The sequence below is a fragment of the Homo sapiens genome, chromosome 22 (assembly GCF_000001405.40).
Source record: "Homo sapiens chromosome 22, GRCh38.p14 Primary Assembly".
NCBI classification, from domain to species: Eukaryota; Metazoa; Chordata; class Mammalia; order Primates; family Hominidae; genus Homo; species Homo sapiens.
The window spans coordinates 26,414,916-26,429,238 of record NC_000022.11 but is presented as its reverse complement, the minus strand read 5'-3'; the positions used below and the strand labels follow the sequence as shown (position 1 = coordinate 26,429,238).

Sequence of the window (14,323 nt, the reverse complement as noted above, 5' to 3'; positions counted from 1 at the left end):
GGCCGCCGGGGGAGGGGGTACGGGGGGGCGGGGCCTGCGGGGCGGGGCCGGGGACCCCCCTGCACCCGGCACCTGCGCTCGCAGTGCGGGAGGCGACCCGAGGCCGCGCCCGCCGCCGCTCCGGAGGGTCCTGGCAGTGCGCCCCGAGACGCAGCGCCCGCCCAGCCCGAGGTTGCGCGCAGGCGGCGACGGGCGTGCAGTCATTCATTAAGAAAGGCTCGCGTCGCTTCCTTCGCTCTTTCGTTTTTCGCTCTGTGTCTTTCTCAGTTCTCCCTCCCTCTGTCTCTCTGTTCCTCTCTGAGTCGCCCTCGTCTCCATTTCCTCCTTTTCATTCTCTTTCACTTCCCCCCCACCTCACTTCCTCTCGCCCTAACGCCTTCTTTCCTTTATTGATGGACTCAACACGGACTTCTGAGGCCCTCAGGCACTTGGAATGGAACCGCAAATCAAACCAGATTCTTAGTCTCATGGAAAACTCATTCGCTCAGTACAGTAATGATGGGCCAGCCTGGGTCCCCGTCCCTGCCAGCTGCGCTGAGCGTGCGCGGTGAGCGCTCAGGCCCGCCCTGCCCTCAGTGAGCCACCGTCTAGCGGGAGGGGACCCTCACCCCCGGGTAGGGTTTAGGAGGGGAAGTACAGGCAGGACGGTTGTCTGACCAGGGGACTGATGAGCTGCGAATGGAGGCCCCAAGGAGGCTGCTTGGAGGAGGTGACGTTTGAGCTAAGACCTGGGGGAGACTAACAGTGGCTACGGGATGTGTTAGGGGCGCCAGGGAAACTGCATGGGTGGGTTCTGGGAGCATAGAGTAGGATGGCCCGCCCACAATCCATCTGTCTCTGTCCCAGACCCACCTCTCTTGTGTCCCAGAATTTATCTCTAACATGGCCCAGAAGCCACCTCATGTCTGTCCCAGAATCCATTTCTCATCCCTATTCCAGAAGCCACCTTCACCCTGTTCCAGAACGTACCTCCTTCCTGTTCCAGAACCCACCTCCCTCCCTGTCCCAGGACCCACCTCCACCCTGTGCCAGAACTCACCTCCTTCCTGTTACAGAACCCACCTCCTCCCTCTTCCAGAACCCACCTCCTCCCTCTTCCAGAGCCCACCTCCTCCCTCTTCCAGAACCTACCTTCTTTCTGTCCCAGGACCCACTTCCACCCTGTCCCAGGACCCACCTCCTCCCTGTCCCAGGACCCACCTCCACCCTGTCCCAGAGCCCACCTCCTCCCTATTCCAGAAGCCACCTTCACCCTGTTCCAGAACATACCTCCTTCCTGTTCCAGAACCCACCTACTCCCTGTCCCAGGACCCACCTTCACCCTGTGCCAGAACCTACCTCCTTCCTGCTACAGAACCCACCTCCTCTCTCTTCTAGAACCCACCTCCTCCCTCTTCCAGAACCCACCTCCTCCCTCTTCCAGAACGCACCTCCTCCCTCTTCCAGAACGCACTTCCTCCCTGTCCCAGGACCCACCTCCTCCCTGTCCCAGGACCCACCTCCACCCTGTGCCAGAACCCACCTCCTCCCTGTTCCAGGACCCACCCCCTCTCTGTTCCAGAACTCACCTCCACCCTGTTCCAGAACTCACCTCCTCCCTGTCCCAGGACCCACCTCCTCCCTGTCCCAGGACCCACCTCCACCCTGTGCCAGAACCCACCTCCTCCCTGTTCCAGGACCCACCCCCTCTCTGTTCCAGAACTCACCTCCACCCTGTTCCAGAACTCACCTCCTCCCTGTCCCAGGACCCACCTCCTCCCTGTCCCAGGACCCACCTCCACCCTGTGCCAGAACCCACCTCCTCCCTGTTCCAGGACCCACCCCCTCTCTGTTCCAGAACTCACTTCCACCCTGTTCCAGAACTCACCTCCTCCCTGTTCCAAGACCCACCTCCACCCTGTCCCAGTACCCACCTCCTCCCTGTTCCAGAAGCCACCTTCACCCTGTTCCAGAATGTACCTCCTCCCTGTCCCAGAGCCCACCTCCACCATGTCCCAGAACCCACCTCTCATCTCTGTCCCAAAATCCACCTGGTCCCTGACCTAAGAATCTGCCTCTACTGTGATAGCCTAAAATCCACCTCCTCCCTGTTCCAGAACCCAGTTTGTCATGTCCCAGAACCCACTTCTTCCATGTCCCAGAGTACACCTCTCCCATGTCCCAGAATACACCTCTTCCATGTCTTAGACTCTTCTTCATCTCTGTCATTTCTCTCCTTTTCTCAACTCCAAAAGAGGAAGAATGTTTTTTCTCTTTTATTCTACTAAAATAAACCAAAACACTTGCATTGGGAAACCATAATATGCACAGATTTGCTCAAAGTGTGGATAATCAACACAGGCATCAGATTTAGAAACATTAAATGGGATGTCTGTCTTCACTGTCAGCCTAAGAGTGGTTGAGCCTGGGTGGGGTGGAGAAAATGGAGTGGGGGGTATTTGACTCATCTCACATTCAGAAAGTTGCTCAAACTTAGAATTCTCCAAAGGCAGTCATACATTCTATCACAGCATTATCCTGGCAGGTTTGAAAAAAAAAAGATATTTTTATATTGTAAATATGTGTTCCATTCCTGCACCATCTTATCTGTACTGTATTATGAATTAATATTGTCTATCAATCCTATAAGTGTCCTTGACCAGTGCAATTATATGATATCTGTAGACCACTGCTCTGCATTTGTTAGTATTTATTTGTTCAATGGCAATATTACTATACACGCAATTTTGTTAGCCCTGCTTACCATTTCTTCATCTTTTTAATTAGCTGGGAGTCTCAATAAATGGAAATGACCTGGGCCTCTGTCAACCCCTTGGAGACCCTACTAGGTGAATTCTGCAGAAAAGGATATCCATGCCTTTCAGAGGGGGATTTTGGGTGAGAGCTCCAGATAAATTGTTACTGTGCTCATGGAGAGGCGGAGAGGAGGACCAAGGGCATCTGAATTGCCTGCCTTCAGCTTGGCTGCCACCTGCATCCTCCTGCTCTCGCTGCCTTCTTTAGCGCAGTCATCCTACCCACTCCGAGACTACACAACCTATCATTACACCGTCTCATACACTCACGGGGTCCACTCAACTCCCTCCTCCTACAGATGGAAGCCCAGAGAGAAAACATGCCTTGCTCAATCAAGGTTGCAGCAAGTCAGTGGAAAATGTGCTTGCGGCCAGCCGTGGTGGCTCACATCTGTAATCCCAGCACTTTGGGAGGCCGAGGCCAGTGGATCACCTGAAGTCAGAAGTCCTAGACCATCCTGATCAACATGTTGAAACCCTGTCTCTACTAAAAGTACAAAAAGTTTTGTATTAATTTTTGTATTAATTAACTACAGGTGTGGTGGTGCACGCCTGTAGTCCCAGCTACTCTGGAGGCTGAGGCAGGAGAATTGCTTGAACCCAGGAGGCAGAGGTTGCAGTGAGCTGAGATTGCACTACTGCATTCCAGCCTGGGTAACAGAGCAAAACTCTCTGAAAGAAGAAAGAAAGAAAGAGAGAGGGAGGGAGGGAGAGAGGGAAGGAGGAAAGGAAGGAAGGAAAGAAAGAAGGGAGGGAGGGAGGGAGATGTGCTTGCTTGGTGCATTAAAGAAACTGGTATGATCACTTTGGAGAGCAGTTTGGTAGTATTCCTTAAAACAACAACAAATATGTATACACTGAAACCAACAATTTCGCTATGCTATATCTAACCTAGAGGGATTCTGGGATAGATGGAAGACTAGTTGTTTTTTCATATTACGTAATACTGTGAAGCTACTAAAAGCAGGAGCTAGATGTATATATAGCAACGTGGATAAAGCTCCTAGAAAAATAATAGGGTGAAAATTAAAAAAAAAGCAGAATTATGATTGTAGTATGATTTTATCTACATAACACGCACCTGTACACATGTGGGTATACACATGTATTTATATAAAAGCAGGGAAAGCACTAGAAGAACACACTAGTATGTTCTCCTATATAAAATGCAAAATAATTACGTTTGTAAATGCAGATAATATCCCTCAGAGGAAGCACACCAAATTCCTAAGAGTTGTAACTTCAGGGGGGACCAAGAAGGAACAAGGAATTGGGAGCAGTAGGCAAGGGAAACTCCAGCATTTTTTGTGATGTTTTAATTTAATATTTTCAAAGGTGTTTAAATACTCCGGAACAACATGCAGAAAGTTACTGGGACCGCGTCACTCTCCTATCCCTCAACCAGTTGGTTTTCTTTAGTGAAGACAGCCATTATAACAAATTTCTTATTCATCTTTTCAGGAATACGCTTTGCATTTGCAAATATTTGGAAATAGCTTAACTTTTAACTTTTAAAAAGTAAGTTTCACTTTTAACAAATAAGTATTAGTATGTTATTTGTGATATTAAAATGGTTTTTAAAGCCGGGCATGGTGGCTCACACCTGTAATCTCAGCTACTTGGGAGGCTGAGGTGGGAGGATTATTTGAGACCAGGATTTCAAGACCACCCTGGACAACATAATGAGAGCTTGTCTCAAAAAAATTTAAATAAAAGAAAAATTTTATTCACATTAAATATTATTTTTCAAGAATGTAGAATTGTTCAACATCAGAAAGTATTTTAATAGAATTCATTCTGTTAACAAAGTAAAGGAGAAGAATGACACCATGATCTCAACAGATGCAGAAAAAGCATTTGACAGAAGTCAAACATCCATTTATGATTAAAACTCCTAGAAAACTGGGAATATAAGAAAATTTTAGGCCGGGCACGGTAGCTCACACTACAGGTGTGGTGGTGCACGCTATAGCACTTTGGGAGTCCAAGGTGGGTGGATCACCTGAGTCCAGGAGTTTGAGACCAGCCTGGCCAACATGGTGAAACCCCATCTCTACTAAAAATACAACAACAACAAAAAATTAATCGGGCATGGTGGTGGGTGCCTGTAATCCCAGCTACTCAGGAGGCTGAGGCAGGAGAATTGCTTGAATCTGGGAGGCAGAGGCTGCAGTGAGCCCAGATCATGCCATTGCACTCCAGCCTGGGCAACAAGAGCAAAACTCCATCTCAAAAAAAAGGAAAGAAAAAGAAAAAAGAAAACTTTAAAAAATTGTATAAAAGGTATCTGTCAAAACCTACCATGCTACAGGTTAATATTCTTCATGAGCACAGACACATGCATCATTAACAAAATAATAACTAATCAAGTCAAGCAACATTAGAAAACATAACATGTGTGTATAATGAAGAATTTAGCTCGTCTTTGTCCCCAATTCTTAACCCCTAAACCTTTATAATTTCTTGAATAATAAGTGTGTCTTTGTTATCTGTGCATTTGTGGTAGACCCCTCAGGCCCTACTCGATAGTTTGTGCTAATGCGATAACTCAGGATGGGGGTTGGCCACACCAGAAAGACCAATCATGTGATTAGAGGGTGGAGACTTTGAGCTAAATGGTATCATCTCCAGGGAAGGGAGGGGGACTGGAGATTGAGTTCAATGATATAGGTGGTGATTCAATCAATCATATCTACATAATGAAGCCACAATACAAACTCTGGACACTGATGCTTGGGTAAGCTTTCCTGGTTGGCCATACTTTTAGAGTATTGCCACACTTTGATGCCCAGAGATCAATGTGTCCTTTATGTTTCAAGCCCTCTCAGACTTTGTTCTATATATGTCTTCTTTTGGCTGGTTCCAATTTGTATGCTTTGCTGTAATGAAACTGTAATTGTAAGTATATTGCTTTCCTGAGTTCTGTGACTCATTTTTCTGAATTATCAAACCTGAGGAAGTCTTTTGGGATGCTCAAACTTGTTGCCAGCTAGTATGAAATAAGGATGGCCCTAGGGACCCCTAGATTTGCTGCTGGTATCTGAAGTCTGAAGTGAGGGCAGTCTTGTGGAGAACTCTGCCCTCATATTTGCAGCTTGGCACTCATTGCAACATCCTATGGCCAAGTGGGGCTTATCTCAGGAATGCAAGGTTGGCTCAACATTTGAAAATTAATTATTGTAGTTTACCTTATTGACAGAATTTCTTTTAAAAACCCCTATAATCCCTTTTTGGCTTTCTGAGCAGTACCATGGTGGTTGGCAAGAACAAGCACCTTATGAAAGGTGGCAAAAAGGGAGCCAAGAAGAAAGTGGTTGATCCATTTTCTAAGGAAGACTTGTACAATGTGAAAGCACCTGCTACGTTCAATATAAGAAATATCGGAAAGATGCTAGTCACCAGGACCCAATGAACCAAAATTGCATCTGATGTCCTCATGGGTCATGTGTTTGAAGTGAGTTTTGCTGATTTGCAGAATGATGAAGTTGCATTTAGAAAATTAAAGCTGATTATTGAAGATGTTCAGGGCAAAAGCTACCTGACGAACTTCCATGGCATGAATCTTACCCATGACAAAATGTGTTCCATGGTCAAAAAATGGCAGACAGTGATCGAAGCTCATGTTGATGTCAAGACTACCAATGGTTACTTGCTTTGTCTGTTCTGTGTTGGTTTTACTAAAAAATGCAACAATCAAATATGGAAGACTTCTTATGCTTAGCATCAACAGGTCCGCCAAATCTGGAAGAAGATGATGGAAATCATGAACTGAGAGGTGCAGACAAATGACTTGAAAGAAGTGGTCAATAAACTGACTCCAGACAGCATTGGAAAAGACATAGAAAAGCCTTGCCAATCCATTTATCCTCTCCAGATGTTTTCATTAGAAAAGTAAAAATGCTGACTGGGCACAATGGCTCATGCCTGTAATCTCAGCACTTTGGGAGGCTGAGGTGGGTGGATCACGAGGTCAAGAGATCGAGACTATCCTGGCCAACATGGTGAAACCCTGTCTGTACTAAAAATACAAAAATTAGCTGGGCATGGTGGTGCACACCTATAGTCCCAGCTACTCGGGAGGCTGAGGCAGGAGAATCACTTGAACCCGGAAGGCAGAGGTTGCAGTGAGCCAAGATCATGCCACTGCACTGCAGGTGGTGACAGAGCAAGACTCTGTCTCAAAAAATAAAAAATAAAAAAAAAGAAAAGGAAAAAGAAAAGTAAAAATGCTGAAGAAGCCCAAGTATGAATTGGAAAAACTACTCATGGAGCTTCATGGTGAAGGAAGTAGTTCTGGAAAAGCCACTGGGGACAAGATAGGTGCTAAAGATGAGCAAGCTGATGGATATGAACCACCAGTCCAAGAATCTGTTTAAAGTTCGGACTTATAATCAGTGGGAAATAAAAAGTCCTATTTGTGAAAAAAGAAGAATTTGACAAAATTCAACACCCATTCATGATTAACAACTCTCAGCAAACTAGGAATGGAAGGGAAATGTCAACCTGATAAAAAGAACTATGATATACATTATGACAAAGTTTCTGAAAGTGTAGTAAGACAATTGTTTTGTGAAACTTTGTTTTACTTTGTGTTTGTGTGTGTGTGTGTGTGTGTGTGTGTGTGTTGCACTGGGTCCTAGAGAAGTTTTCAGAGTAGATACATGCACAAGAATGTTCGTTGCAACATTTCGTGAAAAATTTGAGGCAGCATTGATAAAAAGGAAAATGCACACACAAATTCATACAACAGGCCAGGCACGGTGGCTCACGCCTGTAATCCCAGCACTTTGGGAGGCCGAAGTGGGCGGATCATCTGAGGTCAGGAGTTCGAGACCAGCCTGACCAACATGGAGAAACCCCATCTCTACTAAAAATACAAAATTAGCTGGGCATGGTGGCACATGCCTGTAATCCCAACTACTCAGGAGGCTGAGGCAGGAGAATTGCTTGAACCTGGAGGCGGAGGTTGCGGTGAGCCGAGATCATGTCATTGCACAAGCCTGGGCAACAAGAGTGAAACTCCATCTCAAAAAAAAAAAAATTCATACAACACAATATGATGTAGTAGTTAAAGTGCATGGGCCAGAGCTAAATGCATCAAGGTGGATAAATCTCCAAAACACAATGTTGAGCTAGAAGAGCAAATTGCAGATTGATGTTTGCAACATTATTATTTTTTGTAAGTGTTTGATAGGGTCTTGCTCCGTTGCCTAGGCTGGAGTGCAGTGGCATGATCTTGGCTTATTGCAGCCTCAACCTTCTGGGCTCACCTCAGCCTCCTGAGTAGCTGGAACTATAGGCACATGCTACCATGCCTGGCTAATTTTTTGATCTTTTGTAGAGATGGGATTTTGCTATGTTGCTCAGGCTGGCCTTAAGCTCCTAGGCTCAAGACATCCTCCTGTCTCTGCCTCCAAAAGTGTTGGGATTATAGGCATGAGCCACTGCATATATACATATTCTCACTAGGGGAAACTATATATTAATATGTATTTATAGGAAAAATCTTTCATGGGGATGATCAATACGAGTTCAGTGTAGTGGTTATTTCTGAGGAGGAAGGAAGGAGGAAAGGAGAATGAGATTTGGGAGGAGCACATAAAGGGGCTTCAACAATATTTGTAATATTTTACTCCTTTAAAAATAACCAAAACAAAATGTTAAGATTTGATAAAGTTGAGTGATGGGTACATAAACATTTGTTCTATTTTTCTTTAGGAATGTTGGAAATATTATGAGATTATAAATTATAAGAAGGCAATTTGACACGGTAAAATTAACCCTTTGTTTTTGAAAGTTTGAGTTGTGAGTTTCCAACACAGCTTGAGCTATTTGGAGATTTGCAAGTGCAGCTGTTTCAAGTGTGTTTCCAGAGGTTCCTGGTAGTCCCCGCACGTCGGCAACAAGAGACAGGGGCAGAGGAAATGCCCAGGTTTCCCAGTTCTTCCCTCTGATCTGCTTGACCTTTCTCAGCTTTATATATTGGCCTCTGTATTTGGAAGCTATTATAAAAGACCCCAGGACTAAAATAACTTTGTAAACCACTGCCCCAAATAAAAGTTGGGAAGCTTTGCTCTGGGAAATATGAAGTTAAACCTGAGTCACAAATTCTAGGAAATAAGTTTGCCTAGAATATTATTTCCCTAGAATAAATGAAAGGGAATAGCCCTCCAAATGGGTTTATCACATTGGATGATTTAATTTGGTTGGTTGACACATACACATGAGTAATTCTATCTGTCCAGAAAGCAGAGCCACACACATGTGTTATAAGATGATGAATGCGTTCCCAGAACAAATCGAAATCACCTTGAGCTGATCCAATAAAGTGCTGCTAACATCTATTTAGCATTTGAACAGACGATGAACTTCCTGCTTACGTGCAAGTAGGTAGAGCTAGACACGAGCCTGCTGTTTGTGAAGCCTGGGGAAAAGCTTGCTTTTATACACTGGGGAAAGTGAATTAGTTAGAACCTCTTCCCAAAGCCATCCACCTGTTTCCACCACTGCTTTCCACTGGGTCACCCTGCACTTGTTCCACCTTGTGACCTTTATCCGGATGTCTCCAGTCATTCCATGTTCTCTAGGAGCTTTGCAATAGCTTTGGCTGGGCATGGAAACTAGGTGTGAGAGCCTGTATGTCTCCCAGATGGAAAAATAGAAATGAGAAGCGTGGCCAGGTTCCAATAAGAGATTTGAGAGAAGCAGCCCTCTATAAAATCTGGAATAGAATTCAACACCTAAGTGAACTAGATCTTGTTTTGACAACAGGCATCATTTCCCACCTCCATGAGCCTTTCTTGGTGGTAACAGACTATGACCAGTAATAGGTTTCCATTTCTGCACCCAGTTGGGGGTGATATTAAAATTACTTAATAATCTGTACACCATGGTGCCAACCATCAGAACGGATGCTGGCTGTAAAAAACAGACATGGCCATGTCATTACTTACTGATTCATACACCAGCCCCAGTCTGAGTGATACAGAAATGTAATCTTCAAGAAATTTCTGATGGGTTGTGTCTGAGTCCAGGAGCAGCTATACCTTAAAGCTTCCAGCTATAATGGAGAAGCTTCTTCCTGTTCTGAATCTACTTTTAAAAAATGTTCCCAACAGAGGGGAGGTGAACTACCTGTCAGCTACTTCTAAATGCTGAGAAGTCAACTGGGAAGGCTATTCATTTATTCAACATATAATTATTGAGCATATACTATGCTAAGCCCACTGAACATACAGCAGTGATTGTATACCAGCAGCCTCTGCGTTAAATCCAGCACAAAGATATGCTTAATGTGGCCTGCACAGGGTTTTAAAAATTGCCAACATTTAAAAATTAGGAGACACCATATAAAAATCTAGATTTTCAGTTTCTCTTGGAAAACAGCAATATCTGGTCACCCTGGGTCAGATTTCTGCAAAACAGCAAATTGGCTGGTGTGTGGTTTGCTGCAGTGCTCACCCAATCCCTCTTGCTCTCCAGCTCCAGTGACAATTGTCACTTGCCATTCTCATCCTCTTTGCACTATGTATGAGTACGTGTATGAATGTGTGTGTGTGTGTGTGTGTGTGTGAGTGTTTATAGTAAGGAAATATTTCTCTGCTCCCACGTCTCTGTCAAAAGGGGAAAAACAAAAGCCAGACCAAGAGGGCTGAATGATTTTTATTAGTCTTGGCCCCTTCTCTTGTTTCTGTTACCTGTCATGTTCCAAAGACACTTGAGTTTGCGGCTCCTGGAACACAATGATGCCAAAAACCAAAACAACAAAACAACAAAAAAAGAGTCTGCCTCAGGGAGTTTGCAGGAGGAAGGATTAAACTTGACAACCTAAGGTAATCCCTCACCCAGGACCCAGTAGCAAGTAGAGGGAAGGAAGAAACTGCAAGTACAAAGGCTTATATGTGTGAATAAGCTTGGCTTCAAGCATGGCAAAAGGCCTGCTGTAGCTGGGACAGACGAGAGGGAGTGTGGAGGGAGAGGAATTTGGAGAGCCAGCTCAGACCTTTTAAGCCATGGTAAGGAACTTGCGTTTCATTCTAAGTGGCATGACATAGTTTCTGCTCTCCTCTCCTTAACAAGGCTTGGATCTTGTTACTTCATGTAGCTACGGTAATAGCAATAGCAGGAGACAGGAGAGGCGGGTGAGGTTTGCATCTACCTAAACTATTAGTATCGCTCAGGTGTCCAGCAGTGGGGAAATGATATGCTCCCACATTGGGTCCTTTGAAGAGGGCTTGCTAGTTATTTATTTATTTATTTATTTTTAGAGATCAGGTCTTGCTCTGCCACCCAGGCTGGAATGCAGTGGTGCAATTATGGCCCACTGCAGCCTTCAACTCCCGGGCTCAAGTGATTCTTCAGCCTCAGCCTCCTGAGTAGCTGGGACTACAGGTGTGCGCTATCATACCTGGCTAAGTTTTAAAATATTTTGTAGAGATGGAGTCTTGCTATGTTGCCCAGGCTGGTCTTGGAACTCCTAGCCTCAAGTGATCCTCCTGCCTGTCCTCCCAAAGTGTTGGGATTATAGGCATGAACCACTGCACCCAGCCTGAAGAGGGTTTAATAAAGGGATTGAACAGGGTTGAAGAAAACTCCAAGAAGGATATGGTACCCCAGACTAATAACAGACTAGTAACAGGCGGAGACTAGGAACAGGGGAGATGTCATCCCCTTGGGCCTGAATGGACAAAGGAAGGCTACCAGAACCTGGAGAGTGGCTACCAGAACCTGGAGAGACCCATATTGTTTAGAGAGGGCTGGATTATTCTCATAAGGGACACAGTCAGCTTGTGGTAACTCCACAAAGAGAAAGCCAGAAGAAATGACCTCACTCTCCTCCCACCTTTTTATTTCCTGCCGGGGCTGCCTGTAGAGTATACCTAACTAAAAGCCAGAGAGAGGACGCTCATTGATGGGAGCTACACAGTTAGCCTCCAGGAACCTAGGACAGAGAGGAGGTGGCCATAGAGTGGCTTTTGGCAGGGCACAAGATACTCAATTCACCATCCAGGACACAGGACAAGAAAATAGCATCCCTATTTGTAGTAGTAGGGATAAGATTCAGGTGTGGTGTCTGTAGACAATATTATCCAATTCCTCCAACTTCCGGGGAGAATAACCGCCCGGTTTCAGGAAGCCCAGGGGCCAAAGCAAGGAGAACCTTTGGGATCCGGCAAAGGATCTGAATAGATAAGCTATTCAGATGCCCATTCAGCGCTGCCAAGATGGTGCAAGAGACACCTTCGATTGGTAGGGTGTCCCTCGAGAGATGTTCCTGATCTGCTATTACTGGAATTTGCAACTCCTGTAAAAAGCTGCCTGGGGCATGAGTCACCCAGTCGCTGTCCAAACCACTGCCTCTGCAGCACACCATTCCATTCCCCGATTCTCCTCTCTCTTTCTGCAGCTGCAATCCGAGAGGCATTTGTTCCCTCCAGGGAGGGGCCCCAGGACCTGGAGCCAGCATCCTTCCCTGGCCGGCTGCCTTTGCAAACTCTAGGTAGTTGGAATTTTCTGAGTTCCAGGGAGAAAGAAGCCTGTCTGAAGAGCCCAGACAGTATGTCTCCTCATCACCTGGCACATACCTAGAGGGAACAAAGTGAACACCGTAACTGGGAGTCACCTGGATCAATGTTACAAGCTCAAGCATGGTATATGAATTTAGGACAGCTCCAAGGAGCTAAGTTTTCTTTGCATTTCTTTTTTGTTTTGATTTGTTTCAACCTAAGACAGCATCCAATTCTTTGCATTTCTTAATAGTTAGTTTGATCTGAATGCATCTGGTAGTTTTGCAGAAGCCTCAATCAGATGCATTAGGGGTTAGTTCAGTTTTTTTCGTTTTTCTTGCAAGCTTCCTTTTTGTTGTCTTTTTGTCTGTATTTTCCCCTCCCTTACACCTGTCTAAGGTAGTTATATATCATCCCTGCCAGATTCTATCTAGTTGATTCAGCAGTGGAGTGGGAGGGTGTTCAGGTCACGACGTGACTGTTATAAACTCAACCTACTGGCTGACACATATGACCTACCTAGAACTGAGAGGCTGTGTACTCAATGTTCCTCCGAGTCTTTTGCTGGCAAAGTCATCATGATTTCTGTTAACCTAGGAGGCACTGTTCAGAATTTTTGCCTTTACAAACTCTTACTTCACCTGGTGGAAGAAAACAAGGAGCTTTAGGCTCAAATGTAGGTTTGAATCCCCGTTTTACCCATCATTGGCTATGCAGCCTTAGACACGGGTTACTGAAGCTCTCAGAGCCTCAGTTGTCCATCTGTAACAATGGGCTTATTACCAACCTCAGAGTATTGTCATAGCAATCAAATAAGATAATATAAGCAAACCACTTACACACAGTCTGACTTAGGAGTACCCAACAACTTTTAGTTTTCTCCTGTCCTCAGCCTCCTTATCCACCAAAGCACACACATTTTAACCATTTTTATTCAAGCTACTGACTCCAGGATCTTGCTTGACCACAAGAAGAGTTAGCATGAACATGAACAACTGTATTGTTACTCACAGCTTTCATTACCCCTTGTAGCTCCCTTGACCCGGGCAACACAGTGCCCTCATCAAACCTTCCGCTAGGTTGTGTCATATGAAGAGTGTGATGTTTGATGCACGATGTTGATTTGAGAAGTGGTAGATTCAGAGCAATGAACTAGAAATGCAGAAGGTGGGTGGTCAGGGGTCATGGAATGGAAGGGTGTGCCAGGGACTCAGGGGACTTGAGAGGGGCTGTGAAAAGCTGTGGGACTGCTGAGAATCCTAGGGAATGAAATGTAAGCCTCCCTAATGGGGCCATGCGGGGATATTGGACAGGTTTGCCTGGCACACAAGAGGCCCTCAATTAATATTGGTGAATGAATACATTTGGAGGATTGGCTGAATGGGCAAACCATTGGTGGTCTCAGGGAACTTAGAAGATTGGGTTCCTGCTTAAATGCCCCTTATCAGAGAAGCCCTCTTTGACAAGCACAACAGCACTCCATCAGTCCTTTCTCACAGTGCTTATTATCATATTGCATATTTATTTATTTATTTTTTCTTGAGACAGAGTCTCACTCTGTCATCCAGGCTGCAGTGCAATGGCATGATCTCAGCTCACTGCAACTGCTGCCTCCTAGGTTCAAGTGATTCTCCTGCCTCAGCCTCCCAAGTAGCTGGGACTACAGGCACATGCCACCATGCCTGGCTAATTTTTGTATTTTTAGTAGAGATGGGGTTTTGCCATATTGGCCAGGCTGGTCTCAAACTCCTGACCTCAGGTGATCCACCCACCTTGGCCTCCCAAACTGTTGGGATTACAGGTGTGAGACACCACGCCCAACCATATTGCATATTTATTATACTCTTATTTGTTTACTGTTTGTCATATCCACTAGCATATAAGCCCTATGAGGGCAGGGATGCGGTCTCTTTGGGTCTCTCCTGTATCTTCAGTGACTAGAGTAAAGCTTGGCACCGAGACTCAGTAAATTTGTTTATTTATTTATTTATTTTGAGACAGTCTCACTCTGTAACCCAGGCT

General features: G+C 45.3%; 1 pseudogene, besides 1 other annotated feature; it reads left to right on the top strand.

The window, feature by feature from the left end:
• Window positions 9-138: a silencer, noted in NCBI's record as "silent region_13567". NCBI's record gives its function as "represses an Ori minimal core promoter by ATAC-STARR-seq in GM12878 lymphoblastoid cells {active_cell/tissue: GM12878}" and the evidence as "EXISTENCE:reporter gene assay evidence [ECO:0000049][PMID:35858748]".
• Window positions 6,021-7,216, top strand: RPS3AP55 (RPS3A pseudogene 55; annotated as a pseudogene).